Genomic DNA, 16,089 nt, shown 5'->3' with positions numbered 1-16,089 from the left:
TACTTTCATCATTAGAAACATTCCCCAGAGATGTGTGGCTGGAATAACGTTTGTTTTCACTTTCGTTGAGACATCTTTCAATCCAGCTCTCTAAAAAAAAAAAAAAGAAAGAAAGAAAGAAAAGAAAAAGAAAAAAGAAAATCACAGAATTGCTGTGGGTGTTTGTGAAGAGACAGAACATCATAAATGCATTAGATTTAAATGCTCATCAATATTCATGTGGCATCTGCCCAGATTGGAATGGGATTTTGCATGGAGTTCCATGTGCACCATTGCTGCTGCTGATGAGACTGCTGAGTAGTTTGGATGCAAAATGGCTCTTTGAAGCCTCACTTGAGTACTTCTTGGTCAGATTCCATGAATTCTGGAGTATTTGTAGCACCAACTGAGGATTATCTTTCTGAGCAAAGAAGGTATGTTCCTGAGTAGCAGTTTGTAAAACCAGACTTGGCCAACTGAACCACTGGTGGTGATTTGTAAACTTGTGAATTAGCAGCAGAACTTTTCTTCAAGTGAAAACAAAGAGAAAAGCAGGTAAAACTTTAGGGACTCTGGTTGAAAGAGGGCAGGGAACCTTGTAGCTTGCCTCCCTTTGGCCAGGGACCCCTCAAAGAGCTCTCACAGACTGGAAGCCACAGCAGGAGAAGAAATCAAAAGCACTATGGTAGCTATGTAGCCCCTCTTTTTTTGTGTTTTTGAGACGGAGTTTTGCTCTTGTCACCTAGGCTGAAGTGCAATGGCGTGATCTCGGCTCACTGCAACCTCCGCCTCCCGGGCTCAAGCAATTCTCCTGCCTCAGCCTCCTGAGTAGCTGGGAAGGCACCCGCCACCAAGTTCGGCTAATTTTTGTATTTTTAGTAGAGACGGGGTTTCACCATGTTGGCCAGGCTGGTCTTGAACTCCTGACCTCAGGCCATCCGCCTGCCTCGGCCTCCCAAAGTGCTGGGATTACAAGCGTGAGCCATGGTGCCCAGCCACTATGTAGCCCTTTTAAAATCCAAGACTATGGTTTGTTTTTTTTTAATCCAATTTCAAAGGCTACCAATGTATTTTTTGCAATGTAGTGTAATACTTATTCTGTTTTCTAGACCACCCACCATTCATTCATTCATTCATTCATTCATCATTCAACAACATCAGCTAAGTACAGTCAGCTCTGCTATAACACTTGTCCTGAGAAAACAAATGCGTCCCAATGCAAGTGATATATTTGGGAACAATTTGAGCATAGTGCAAACTTTGTGTCTTTTTATGCTCCATTTATTTCATAAAAAAATTAGGTGAATGCAGAAAACTCCACGCCCCCCCCACCCCACCCCCCATTATACTTAGCACCACAGAAATATGCAGAACACACTCACGTTCACACCTCAGACACCTACCAGCTACTTCGGTCCACGTTGTGTTATGAGTCACACCTGCTCACTTCATAATAACTCACAGGCTGCAACCCTTCTGATACCCACCTCTAAAAGCAATCTTCAGGTCTTTTCCAAGGTGAAGTGCCATTTTTATTGTATTTGTGTATTTCTAAACCATTTAACACGTGCAAAACTGTGATATCATTTTTATTAGGTTTCTATCTTTTATTATGTGTCATTGACAAAGTTTTTCAGCATTGTGCCCCTAAGCTTATTTTTCCAGTAAACTGAGTGGTCTTTGTTGGCCGATTCTGTATAATGTGGTGATTTTTAGGAAGGCATATGGGGTATTATAGCAGAAGTGGCGACACCTATGGCTGCAGGCTTTTGGACAGTGTGGTTTCCCATTGCCTTCTTTATGATCTGGGAGCTGGTATTTATTGAACACCTATTTGAACATGCCAGGCCCTCTGCATAAGTTATTTCATTGAGTCCTCACAACAACTCTCTGAAGCAAGGATTTTAATCTCTGTTTTTCCTAGAAAGCAACTGGGATTTAGAGGGATTAAGTAATGTGACTCCTCATAATTCAAAGAGCCGAGGAAAAGATCATTAGTTAACACCTTAGGTTACACACCATAAAAAGAAGCCACGCGGACGAGTAAGCTATGCGGAGAGGGGAAATCAATGCCAACAGCTGGGAGAAATGTCGGATTTTTGTTTTGTTTTGTATTTTATGTCCCAACAAACTGCTCTTTTAAAAGCTGCTTCCAAAATTGTGAATAAGTAGGGGGAAAATATCTGAGGGGAAGAACAAGGGCCAGCTTGTTGAGAGGATATGGAAATCTGATATTTCCCAGGAAATACTGAGGAGCAGAGAAATTCAAAACATTAAAACGCTGCACCTTCCAGACATCGAATGCACAATGTGGAGACAGACAGCTTGTAATGTTTCAAAGCTGGGATGCACAAGGTAGGTGTCTGTCATCACACTGTATCCAAACGCACATCTGGTTACACATCTCCAGAGTTCTTTTCAGGATTCTCCAGAATGACTCCACTCACTTCTTCTCATCCTTTCAAGTCCTGGCACATTTTCCCTGGCAGCAGCCATAGCTACATTTAGATGGCATCTGCTAAAGTTTGCAGCCCCTGCCTCCACCAAACCTTACCACCAAAAGCAATATCTATAGTTCTGGGCCAACCCCTGGTCTTCCTAGATAGGTATACACACCCAGTCACTCTCACACACACACTCACATCTACACCCCAATCCCCCTTTCATCAGGAACTAAGGGAAACACTCTCCCTCTCACCCATTTGCCTGCACTGGATTCAGGCCTGATAACATCAAGGTCCTTAGAAGGGCCTGTTCTTGCAGGTGAGAACCCCCTGTGATTGATGGGACATTCTCTGAAAACTTCGTGGCAACATTCCCGAGAGAAGCTGGTTCTATTAACCAGGTAAGCCAAGAGAGCACAGTGCCCACCCGCAAGAGTTTGAGTAAAGAAAGAACTTTCCTCACGGCAGCACCTGTCCTCCACACTGTGCAATCCCACACTGGAGAGAGATGAAAGCAAGGCTACAAGAAGTGGGAGAGGGTGGGAGGTGCCATGAAAATGAAAGAGAAGACATCTCACCCATTGCACCCACTCAGATCACTCTGACCCCACAGTCTATGCCTGTAGCCAACTCTGCTCCCTGGGGCAATCCAGAATAAGTCTGGTCTCACTGGCACATTGCAGATATGAGAAGACAACCATCATTTCACCATATTTCTGGTTGAAGTACCCCCATCAAAGAACCACATTTGTTTCACCTCTTTCTTGGAAGAAATTGTTCCCATTTCTTTGCCATCCAGTTCACCTGCTTCTGGGTGTCTTCTAGTTAATCAATGTCCATGTGAACACGTGGCACTTGGGATAGACTCTGAGGGTTCAGACAATGGTCTGAGCAGTGAAAGAACCATCACCTATGTTGTTCTGGACAGTTAGAGTTCTCATGCATTCAAGGGTCTTGCATTTCAGACTATGTGGATGCAACACTCTGAGATATCCAAACCAGATTCGGGCCTTGGATCTGCAGGTGCACTTTGACCTCTGACTTCTTCCCTAGTGGAGCCCTTAGGAGTGGCATCTCCAATTCATGTCTCACAAGCCAGGTAGCTTCCTATGACTGGAAGGCCTCTATTTAGGTCAACTGAAGTCAATGTTATATACTTTAAAATTATTCTTAACAATGGATTTTGGTCTTGCAGAGGTCAAGAATTACTTAAGCAGAATGACATGTATACTGAATTTTGAATGAAACACTGTGTTCTTCCACCTTATTGATTTGTAGATGATGTGATTTCATAATAATAAAGTTCACTGTATATTGAGCTCTCACTATGGGTGAGGTATCATACAACTGCATTACATACATCATCATACTTAATACTCATCACAATCCTAGAGGTGGGTGCTATTAATAGGCCCATTTTAGAGATAAGAACACTAAGGCTCAGAGAGATTCAGTGACTCGTCCAAAGTCATCTGGCTAGTAAGAGGAAGACCAGCATTCAAATTCAGGTCATAATCACAGTTCTCTCTCCAAATGTGAACTGAGCTTTCTCCTTTTTCTATGTCCTGTTTAGTCCCCAGAACAATGTGCCAATTCTGCAGCATTTTTCTCAGTCTGCTTTGTATTCGAACTTTTCCTAAAACTCTACTTACATAATTTTGCTAAATTCATTTCCATATTCTTTGTCAGCCTTTGTCATACACAACAGCCTCTTCAGTTTAGAACTTAAACCACTTAATAATGGAGCCCGTTTTATTCTATTTCTTTTGACTCTCTACTAGTACTGTTATAAAATTTTTCCTGTAGTCTGGCCTCAATAACTGTTACATTAGTGACACACATGTCAAAGAATGCATAGCATATAAGTAGATACATCCACATATCTATAGAATTTCCTAATCATTTTCTTTTTTTTTTTTAACCACATAAGGCATGGAAAAGTATAACATATCAAAGGCGATTTTCCAAATAAAGCAAAATTCAACACACATTTATTTTGTGCCTTCCAGATGCAAGAAGCTGTGCTAAAGAGAAGCTGTAGCGGCCAGGTGTGGTGGCTCACACCTGTAATCCCAGCACTTTGGGAGGCTGAGGCGGGCTGATCACCGGAGGTCAGGAGTTCAAGACCAGCCTGGCCAACATGGCGAAACCCCGTCTCTACTAAAAATACAAAAATTAGCCGGGTGTGGGCAGCACACGCCTGTAATCCCAGCTACGCAGGAGGCTGAGGCAGGAGAATCACTTGAACCCTGGAGGCAGAGGTTGCAGTGAGCCGAGATTGCACCACTGCACTCCAGCCTGGGTGACAGAGTGAGACTCCATTCTCAAAAAAAAAAAAAAAAAAAAAAGAGAGAGAAGCTGTAGTGATATAAACATGAATAAGACTGGCTTCTGCCCTCTAGTTACCAAGTAGAAAGTAAGGCACGTGCTACTCCCTGAGCTCATGAGAGTGGGACCCTGTCATTTTTGTCCATCATCTCACACCCAGTGGCTGGCGCTGTGGCTGGCTCCATAGATGTCGCACAATAAATGCATGCTTTTTCTAAAAACTTTATTAAGCTCCTATTGTGTGGCAGGTACCATAGAAGCCATTTTCACATATGTTGTCTAAATTGGGACCAGAACAACATTACATGTTATGTTTTCATATCTCTATTTATAGATATGGAAAGTTAGGCTTGAAGCAAAAGTTCTAAAAGGAAGGCAGACTGTGATCAATGCTGCAATACTGGTACTGAGTTCTGGGGACTGCATGGGACATAGGAGAAAGAGAGTTCAGTTCATACTGGGATAACTTCCTATTCCCAATTGCCTCATTCTTGATCTATAAAAATCATCTGACCTGTTAGTAAGGACCAAGCTTGTGCTAAGTGCCCAACGGGATTTGCCTACAGCCGTGAGCAGAGGCTCCTGGGCTGTGAAGCATCCCTTCCCCTGATTCATCTGGGATTATGGGCAGAAAGGAGGAGGCAGATAATGCCTATGGATTTTCACTTTCAGGGAGTTCAGCCCACATACCTTAGAGGAAGATCTTTATGCCTCTGCACTTTGGACTGAAGATTTGGAAACCCCAATGTGAAGTTATTTTCTCGGGTACATATAATGAGGTTGAGCAGAGCCATATATAGTTATCATGTTTTCTACAAGGCTTCATTCTCTTTACAGCAGCAAAGAATAACCCAGAAGTAGCCGCATCAGGGACATGGCACGTCCAAGGCAGTTCAAGGTTCAGAGTGGTGCCTCACAAACCCATATTGACCTGGCAGGGAGGGCCTATTAAGACGGTTATCAAGAGCCAGGTAATCCTTGAAGTTTATAGCACACACTGACAGCAACCTCTTAGATTATCCCTGCATCCATTTATTCATTTTCCAATAATTATCAAGTGCCTTCGATGTTCAAACAGAGGGGATGAACAAAAGCTATTCAACAGGACACACATATATTACACAGGATATCTCTGGTGGACTAGCGTCTCAAGACCTAAAAGTATCTTGGGTTTTTTTGTTTATTCCATTTCTTTAAATCACTTATTTTTCCCACCCTTAACATGTAAGTTCGAATGACCTTGTCTATCTTGTTCAGTACCTTGTCCCCAAGAGCCTAGTACAGTACTGGGCACATAGCTGTAGCGATGCTTGTGATGAAGAAAAGTAAAGGAAGAAAAGAATAGAGAATGAGAGACAAGGAGGGGGGATTCTCCACCAGAAAGGCCTCTGGGAAGAAAGAGCCTATGAGCAGACACTGAGTTTAGTGAGGGAGCAAGGTTTCCCAAGATTCAGAGAGAGGGGACCACAAGGGCGAAGGTTACCCCCAACCCCAGGAAAGATCATGCTTGACTTGTTTGAGGAATGGCAAGAAGGCTCAGGTGGCTGATGCAGAGTGACTGACGGGGAGGTGGTGCAACATGAAAGAGAAGACAGAGACGGGCTTGGGAGAATGTGGGGTTTGGAGCTCAAATCTGACTGGATTTCAAATCCCAGCCTGGCCACTTACTAGTTATGTAACATTGGGATGGTTCCTAAATTGTCCTAAATTCCTACCTACCTGATTTCTTCAAAGATTAACTGGAATTATAAAGGTAAGGCACTTAGTGTGTTTGGCTTTAAGGGCCATAGAAAAATGAGGAAGGCATGGTTTCTATCCACCAGGAACTCACGGCTGAGTGACAGGGACAGATGCCTAATGGTGATGTCTGGCATTTATTGAGTAACCTCCAGGGCTGGTTGCCCCGCTCCACATGCTTCATCTCTGTTGCTCGCAGCAACTGAAGCAGAGACTTGACTAACTTTGATTTGCAAGAATGAAACTCAGATCCAGAGAAGCTAGTTGATGGCTGAGCTAGGTCAGGTCTGCCTGACTCCGAGGCTGGGGTGCACTCACTGCCCTCATGCCCACACTGCCCACACTGCCTCTACAAGCAAGCAGGTACCAGGAGTGTTTGGTATTATAATAAGATGCTGTGGGGCATAGAGAGGAGAGCTTCCATGGAGAGGAAAGCCTGGCTGCTTCACAGAGGGGGTGGCATTTCAGCTGGTCCTTAAAGGATTCAGCACCTGCCAGACCAAGGAGGGAAGCAGGGCATTTCAGGCAGGAGGGCTGCCTTCAGGACAAAGGCACAAAGCTGTGAAAGGCCTGGTGGTTCTGGGAAAGGTGAAGAGTTCGCCGACCTGTGACTCCCAGTGGTGGGAGACAGGTGGAAGAGTCCGTTAGGAGCAGATTGCAAAGGCCTTGCCCGCCGGGCCCACCAGGCCGCGAAGCCTGCAGGCAGCTGGGAGCCAGCCGTGGTGTTCAAGCAGTGGAGAAGTGAACACGCTGAGTTTTGTTCCTGAGGCACTGGATGAGAACAGGGAGGTCCTGACTTATGCAATACCTGCAGAAAACGCTGCCTGACTTAAAAAGTGTCACCGGGATTTAATAGAGGCCATTATTCACACTATATCAACAGTCTCTCAGGGCACTGTGCTGAGGCCTATTTTAGGAAATTGCAGCTCCAGAAACGCTACATAAAAGAGTTGACATGCCACACTCACAGCTACCAAGGCGGGCCTGGCCCCAGTTCCCCCTGAGGGTGCCAGGCCCACCCCAGTCTCCTGTCCCTGGGCCCTGGTCATTACCAGTGGAACGGCGCCGTCGAGGCCTGGTCCTGTCGCCTCCCGCACCAGGGTGGGCTCTCCTTTTGATCATTCTGTCTCAGCCCCTTTCTGTCTCTCTCCTGGCTCCCTGCCGGTGGCAGTGGCGACACACAGGAGTTTGGAGAAGCCCAGGAAGCCAGCAGCTGTGGCCTCTCCAGGGGGTGGCTCAGGTCAGTGGGTTGCCATGGCAACGCCACAGGTCCTGCCCCAGGGGCTGCTGGGTTCCAGGAAGGGGCCCTGCCCTGCCTCTGCTTTCATTCCTTCCCTCATTTACCAAATATTGATTTAGAACCTACTGTTTGACAGGCTCTGAGCAGCTAGTGATCAACATGGCAGACAAGGTCTCTGCTCTCAGAGAGCTTATATTCTGTGGCGGAGACAGAGACAAATTAGCAAGAAGACAGCAGAAAGTGAGTGTTATGAAGAAAATAAAGCCATAGAATGGGAGATCAAGAGAGGTGGGGGTGCTTTTTGGGCAGTGGGGACACTGAAGGCCTCTCTGAGGAGGTGATGTTGGAGTGCAAGGGCCTGGGTGGGCTTGGGTGTGTGAGGAGGAGCCAGGAGGCCAGCATGACGAAGCGGGAGGTGGGGAGAGCAGCAGGAAATGAGGTAGAAAGTTGGGAAGAATCCAAAGTATGTAGGGACTCGCAGACCCTCCTAGGAACTTCACATTTATTCCAAGTGCGCTAAGAAGCTATTGGAGGACTTTAAACAGGTGATGCGGACTGCACTGGCTCAGAAAGGGTAACCCACATTCATTCATCCCTGTCTGCATTTGGCAACTATTTATGGGATACCATGCACCAGGGGCTGGCTACACAGGAGGGACACAGCCTCGATAGACAGTTCTTTTTGGAAGATTAGAGTTTAGTGTGGTCAACTATAAATAATCATACAAACAGAGATGCAATTACCAAGAGTGCCACGCGAGAGAAAAAAAGGGGGGTTGGGTCTAATCTGGGGGAGTTAGGAAGCTTCTTGGAGGAAGCAGCATTAAACTGGCAGCTAAAGAATGCGAAGGCATGAACCAGGTAGAGAGGGAGGAAGCGTGTTCCTGGCAGAAGGAACAGCATGTGCGAAGTTCTTGAAGCAGGCAGAAGAAAGATGCTTTCAAGAAACTGACAAGCAGCCTGAGCATGACTACACACATTGATTCAGGTATCAACACGTGTTTCCTGATATTATCCTGCTTGATGAGCACTTTATGAGATGCTATAGGAGATGCACATACATAAGCCTTGCTTCTGTACTCAATGCTGGGTTAAGGAGTCTAGATTGTATTCAGTAGGTGGTTGAGAAGCTCATAAAGTTTTTGAGTAGAGTGGGGCATAAGCAAAGCAGTTCTGTGGGCAGCTCCATCTGGTGCTGCTAAACATATTTTAGAGGGGAGAGAATGGAAGAGGAGGCCACGGAGTAAGGGTGACCGTATCCCTTATCATCCAAACCTGAACATTTTGAGATTGAAAAGCAATATTATTAATAATTTTGCCAGGATCACATGCATAAACCAGGATTGAGCCAGGCAAACCGAGACTTACTTGTCCCCCTCTGTAGGAGGCCGCTAGAGGCTCATTATGTCTTAGAGACCTGAACTGGAGGGATGAAGTAATTTGTTTAAAAAAAAAGAATGTAGTGGAGAAAAGATAAGAACTCTTTCCAGTTAACTGTGTTCACTCCCCAGCCAATCCATGTGATCACTGGCTCTATGTCTCCTCCTCATCAGCTGGAGTCTCAATCACAATAGGACACAGGTGAGCCTGAGATGACGCTAATATCATTCTCCTGGAATATGGCTTCCCAACACAAGCACCATCACCTTCATCATCATCATCATCATCATCATCATCATCATCATCACAGCGATGACTTGCCCAAGATCACACAGTTGTTAAGCTGCTGAGCAGGGATTTGAATCTGACTCGAACCTAACTACTCACCTGTGGTTATATACTCGTAATTATATATACATTAAAGTCTCATTGTGAATTCTAAGCTGTGTCTAACATAACACCAATTGTACAATAGGTGCTCAATAATGTGGCTGCCCTTTCCCACTTTAGGGAAACTCAATATGTAAAACTCTAAAGTGGGCAAGGAAATTAACTAAGGGTCATTGCCTGCAATGTACAAGAAAAAAAAAAAAACAACGAGGAGGAAAAAAAAAAGAACGAGGAAACTCCCAACGATGCACAAATGCCGTTTGTTCAGAGATCATGAACTCACCAAGAGTCTTCAGAAACTAGAGAAAATTCAACCTAAGGTGTTCAGTGCCATCTCCTGTTGAAGATAAATTCAATGTAAAAGCAGATCTCGGCTCTGAAAATATCCCTGGGAACACTAGCATTAATGTACATTATTGCATAACCAGGTTGTAAAAATTTCATTTTCCCTCAACTTCTGGGGAAGGGTGTACCTACTACTACTTAATGTTAGCAGACTTTTTTCTTTGTTTCTATTTCTACTATAACAATATTATTAAAACATAAAATTAGGAAAAGAATCATTGAGGCCAAGGCTACTCGCTCTGCACGGCATCTGATATTATTCCATCCTTGACATCATTGCCTTTTCTACTTTTGGGTTTTTATTTTATTTTTACCTCTCCTGCTCTGTTTGGGGATGTGAATTCCCCCAAAAGCTCAGGAGCCAGGCACTCCTGGCTACAGAAGCCAAATAGATTTTAACCCAGCCTGAACTTTTGAGGTAAGCCACCAAAACACCCTTCTCCTAGGCAAAATGCTTTTTTCTTTCCTGTAAGTCTACTGCAGAAATTACATTTTAAAATATTGAAAAGAGAAACATATTTTCCCACAATCCCACCACTCTAACCCGGTAACTACCTTTCTTTTCTTTTTTTGTGTGTGTTGGTCGCAAGTCTCATATCTATAAGTGCACGTAAGAGAACTGTAACTCTAGCAAACATAGCATTTCCATTCGTTTTTCTCTTAATGTTCTATTATTATGCAGATTTTTCCTAGGTCACTACAGTCTTCATATTCATCATTGTTTGAAAGATGCCAAACGTTCCATTGAGCAAGTGTTTCCATTTTCCATAATGTTTCAATAAACGACTTGGTGCATATCATTTTTTCTTTGTTTTGAATCATTTCCTGAGAGTCACTTAGAAGAAGGAAAAGTTACCAGGTGGGATTAGTGACTAATTACCAATGAATTTTCTGAATTCTAGGCTTAATACTTACTAGCGCAATGAATCAAGGCAAATTAACTTCTTCAAACCTCAGTGTCTCCTTATGCATAATACGGATAATAATAATCTGTCTACCTCATCTTAATAGTGTGAGATTTAGGTGAACAAATGCACAGAAAGCACATAGAATACTACCTGGACCAGAGCAAGTTCTAGCCACACAGAAAAACCGTAATCCCAATAGTTTGTTTTTGACAGAGGCACCCTTTTTCCTCTTTTTCTTTTTTATTTTTGCACCCCCATCCCAACCACCTTTTTTTAGAGATGGGATCTTGCTCTGTTGCCTAGGCTGGGATGCAGTGGCACCATCATAGCTCACCACAGCCTCAAATTCCAGGGTTCAAGTGATTCTCTCACCTCAGCCTTCCAAAGCACTGGGATTATAGGTTTCAGCCACCACACCTGGCCATGTTATTGTTTTTAATGTCAGTATAATAGTTAAGACCATGGACTGGCGAGCCAAACTGCTAGATTCAATTCTGACTTCTTTGCTCTGTGACCTTAAGGCAAGGGACTCAACCTCCTTGAGCCTTCGGTTCTTCATCTGTAAAACGGAGTAGTATCAGTAACAGCTCACAGGGTTTATGTAAGAATTGAGTTAATAAGGCACATCAGGTGCCTACATGATTTAAGCATTGTATGTCTTAGCGAATGTATCAGGCCCACCTCTAAGGCATCCCACCTTAGTCTGTACCTGAAATCACCTTTCCTGTTTGATTCTTGGATCTCCCAATACAATTAAAAGAACTTGGCCTTGGACGCCAGAAAGACACTAATTCTAATCCTCCCCTTACAATTGACTAAGTAAGCTCTGCAACCCTGGGCAAATTACTTAACCTCATGGGCCTCAATTTCCTTCCTATTAAAAAAAAAAACTACCCCATGAGGTTATTATGAGGATTAGAAGAAATAATATAAGCTCCTTAAGTGCTGATTGTACTTTATTCACCCACTATTCGTTGTATTTAGGACAGCCCTTGGCCCAGAATAGCAGATCAATAGAAGTGGAGGAAAGGACAGAAAGGAGGGAGGGAAAGAAATGAATGAATGAAGCACTCACACTGTGCCTAGCACATAGTAAGGGATCCAAAGAGTGTTAGTTAATCTGTAATTTATCAGGTACAAACAAGTTTGTAATTTATCAGGCACAAACAAGTTTGCAGGGGCCCTTGGGCCAGGCTTCCTAGAAAGTAAGGAAAGAGATGCAGCATCCTTTGTAATATTAAAAATGGATTGATTTATATATTAAATAAACATTTATTAAGCACTAACTATGTGCAAGCCACTCTAGCAGATGCTATGTACTGTGCTAAACACAGATAAAAATTACACAGGCAAAACTCTTGAAAAAGGAAAAGCTCCAAATAACCATATAAAATCGGAATGAAAAATACACTTTCTTATAAGTTTTTAATTGAGATATAGGTGGCCTGGTTTAAACAAAGCAGGATCAGCTTTGGAACAACAAACCTCAGTTTGGATACTCAGTTGCTGTACAGACCAATGCATGTGACCGAATCTTACTGGTTTTACCAGGTGTACAATGGGAATGAATGATCCTTCCAATTCACTGGTTTATGAGATATTGCCTCAAAAGACTGAACACAGTGGAAGAACAAATTCTATAAAATTTTGTTTCCTTTTCCTGTGTATTAGTACGTTTTCATGCTGCTGATAAAGACATACCTGAGACTGGGCAATTTACAAAAGAAAGAGGTTTGATTGGACTCACAGTTCCATGTGGCTGGGGAGGCCTCACAATCATGGTGGAAGGCAAGGAGGAGGAAATCACATCTTACGTGGATGGCAGCAGGCAAAGAGAGCTTGTGCAGGGAAACTCCCGTTTTTAAAACCATCAGATTTCATGAGACTCACTGACTATCGCAAGAACAGCACAGGAAAGACCTGCTCCTGTGATTCAATCATCTCCCACCAGGTGCCTCCCACAACACCTGGGAATTATGGGAGCTACAAGATGAGATTTGGGTGGGCACACAGAGCCAAACCATATCATCCTATGTGGTCTTTGTGTGTGGGGGTTGGGGGAAAAGGTCTTGGAAGTCACTAGAGGACCACAAGGTTCTCCTTGCAAGTGGTGCTTAAAGCAGCTTCTGTTTATTGAGCTTTTACAATGTGCCAAGACCTGTGCTGGTTCCTTTACATATTACTTTATTTAATCCTCACAATACTCCATGAGGTGGGTATTTGAATAGTGCCATTTTACTGAAAAGCAAACTGAGGCTCAGAGAGGTTACCTAAGTTGCTGAGTTCATATATCCAGCCCATGGCAAAACCAATTCTCAGGAAGCCTGCTGGATTCCAGAGCCCGCACTGTTAATGATTCTATCGATGATTATAGACTGTAACATGCTATACAAATGGAAGGTGCTGTTCTTTTAACAGCAAGGTTTTTATGTTGAACCTATTCTAAGTGAAATCATGTCTGTAAGTAAATAGAAATGAAGCCCTTGATGATGTGTGTAAGATGTCAGATTTCCCAAAGTAACTGGCAGGTGGGAAGATACTGGCCTAGTGGTGGTGCCAGGTTGAACTTAGAAGCTCTGAGAATGATTTGAGATGAAAGGCACACATTGCATGGAGGCACCCACTCAGGGAGGAGTGCCCGTGGGCATCCTCAGCAGCCTGCTGCTAGAGTCACATCTCAAGGCCAGTGGCACCCAGTCGCCCACTGACACCCACGACAGTACACTCCAAAGAATGGCAGTGTGAGCTGCTGTCTCCCACCAGGATGAGGGAATGACTGGACCTCCTGAACTTTATGCAGTAGAGGAGGTGAACTAGAATGTAAAACTCTCAGGTCTTCCTTCTAGCTCTGGAGTTGGGGAGGCAAGGAGGCAACCTGGCTTTGGAATCACAGTAATCCGTGTTCAAATCCTGGTTTGACACTAGGGGTTTGGCCTGGACATATTGTTAACTAGGCTGTCTGAATCTCAGTTTCCCCATCTGTAAACTGGGAGTAATAATACCATAGAGTCAATATGTGAGTTAAATAAAGTAACATGCATAAGTGTTCAGCACAGTGCCTGGAAAAAATTACAAGTTTGATTAATCTGCTACTCAATTTCCAAAAGGGACTCACTTGTATAAAAAAGAAACTAATAATTTTGAAAAAACTCATTAAGTTAGCCTGCTGTCAATTATGGAAATGATTCTGATGGGGTCTCTTCCTTGCCTCCCATCCTCCCTTGGGGTCCCCCTCCCTCTCTTTCTCCCTTCCTTCTCAAAATGCTCTGTTTATCATCAGCTATCGATATACAACATACAGCCTTGGTGTTTTCATTTCTTTTTTTTTTTTTTAATCCCTCTCAATACCAAGAAAAACTTTGAGCAGAACACGGGATCCATGGGGCATCCTTGTGTAGGTCCTCCGTGGCTTGGATCCCTGTGCACTGCTCAGCTCGGCAGCCTTTCCCAGCGGCGCTCAAGGCTCAGCCGGCCTCTGTGCGAGGCTGCCCAGTACATGCGGGGCGAGCTCTGGACTGACGGCGCTCCCACTCCCAGCGCCTCCTCAGCTGTGCCCTGTGAGGCAGCCGAGGCGAGAATGCCCCGCAGCCTGGGCACCCAGAGGAAACCTCAACGTAGCAGAGAAATAATTTATTCTTGTCATCACACCAAAGTTTTCAAACTTTAAAACGCAGCCTTGATTAGAAGAAAAGCTGTGTTTTTTCTAAAAGCCTGGCATTTCTGAAAAGGTCCCCTACCCAAACCACAGAAACCTCAAAAACTCTGCCCACTGAGTTGAAAATAAAAGTTCACGGAGACCAAAGCCTTTCTCACAACAACCGCTCGACGCTTTAGAAATCTTCTCTCCAAAGCTTAAAAGTTTTAATGTTTTAACTGAGGGCCTCAAGCCCTCTGGAATTTTTCTCCCTTGTAAACTCCCAGAGCTTTCTGAGGCAGACTTATTTATTTTCTGTGATGTCCAATAATGCTTGTTGGAGAAATTATTTTACTTTTGAAAAAGGAGTCACTGAGTAAAAGAAATAAAAGTAAAAGAAATTTTAGCCCGGTTAGTAGCCATTTAAGGAGGAAGCAAACTGTGTTGATTTTCTTTTTGGGGAGGCAAATAACTTTACAAAGGCACCCTACTTCTTCCCTCACCCTAGACTTATTATCAGCAGTGGAAGTGAACACCATGAAGAAAACTTGGCAAAATGTTTAGAATAATCCATCAGTTCCACCATAAATAGGTTTGAGTTTATACCATGGACCCAATTCTGCCAATTCTGGAACTTTATAAAATCCTAATGACTTCAATAGAAACTTGACTTATTCATGAGCATTTAGATTCAGTACACAAATTATAAATATGTTCTATGTATGGACACCCCAAATTTGGACTAATCACGTTCAGAAAAAGATAACGTAGAACTCAAAAACTCTTTCATGCTCACTTTTAAAAATTATAAATCCTATAATCGCAACATTCCAAGAAACACTTCCTTCTTCAAAAGTGTAATGTAACTTGCGATGATTTGATGGCCAAGATTCAAAACAAAGGCACTGACATCATTTTATTCACAAAATGCATTTGTGTCTCAAAAATTAGATGCTGGCTTGGAGATGTAATTGTCAATCACTAATCACTCGTTAGATTATCCAAATGTCCATTCAAAATCTAGTTCAAAGACTAGTTTGCTTCCATTGACTGATACTGTATTTTCTCCAACATGATGGATTCAGGACATCAGTGCTTATGTAGTGGTAAATTTCCATTCTGATTAAATAAATATCTGCTACATTCAGCAGTCTCACTTAGGTTGTGTCTAAACACCGGTCTTTAGCACAACTACTGGGTAGCTGGAAAACACACAGGACACAAAGTGCTAACTAACCTTCACCGGGTTGCAGCCTTTTCAAAGGCTTTCTCATTGTTCTTTTAAATTAAAACAAAACAACTACAAAAATACAAATCCAACGTGTCCATTTTCACCTCTCTACTAATAATTATTGATTGCTCCGAGGCACAATAATGCTTTTATGTTTTATGGAAGAATAACCAACCAGAAAAGTGGAAACTGTACACATCTTTTGAAGTATTCCTGCCTTGAGGGTGGGATATGACACACATAAACTCCGTAATCTCCCGGCACAGGTCAATCCAGCCCTAGTTGCCTCAATTTGGACCCAATTCAACTGAAAGCAAAATGGCTGCATTTCATTCTTTTCTGCTTTTTATCATCTCTTTCCCTCTCGTAAACATTTCAAGAACTCAAAAACTGCAGTGTTAGTAAACATCAAAGTGTAAAGACAAAAACAGAACAAATGGACGTTTTATCCTCACGTTAAAAATATATATATA

At 43.2% G+C, this 16,089-nt stretch overlaps 1 protein-coding gene and 1 long non-coding RNA gene across 3 annotated transcripts in view, besides 1 other annotated feature; one reads left to right on the top strand and one right to left on the bottom strand.

Moving 5' to 3' along the window:
- LOC100287944 (uncharacterized) overlaps nucleotides 1–16,089 on the top strand; it is a 278,422-nt gene that overhangs the window by 165,945 nt on the left and 96,388 nt on the right. The gene's annotated exons all lie outside the window — the stretch shown is intronic.
- RFX4 (regulatory factor X4) overlaps nucleotides 1–16,089 on the bottom strand; it is a 179,800-nt gene that overhangs the window by 153,917 nt on the left and 9,794 nt on the right. The window contains exons 1-2 of one of the 2 annotated variants that reach the window (NM_001206691.2): nucleotides 7,541–7,739; nucleotides 4–90 (exon numbers count right to left, since the gene is read on the bottom strand). In NM_001206691.2, the coding sequence (NP_001193620.1) occupies nucleotides 4–90; nucleotides 7,541–7,610 (157 nt within the window). In that variant the 5' untranslated portion in view covers nucleotides 7,611–7,739. Of the gene's footprint in view, nucleotides 1–3; nucleotides 91–7,540; nucleotides 7,740–16,089 lie in introns of those variants that run through there. The other variant, NM_213594.3, reaches the window with a different exon arrangement.
- Nucleotides 7,562–7,856: a silencer, noted in NCBI's record as "tiled region #8958; K562 Repressive non-DNase unmatched - State 8:EnhW". NCBI's record gives its function as "represses a minimal TATA promoter and a strong SV40 promoter by Sharpr-MPRA in K562 cells {active_cell/tissue: K562}" and the evidence as "EXISTENCE:reporter gene assay evidence [ECO:0000049][PMID:27701403]".

This window comes from Homo sapiens, chromosome 12 (genome assembly GCF_000001405.40).
Source record: "Homo sapiens chromosome 12, GRCh38.p14 Primary Assembly".
In the NCBI taxonomy this organism is placed as follows: Eukaryota; Metazoa; Chordata; class Mammalia; order Primates; family Hominidae; genus Homo; species Homo sapiens.
Note: the sequence above shows the minus strand (reverse complement) of the source record. Positions and strands in the feature narration are given on the sequence as shown.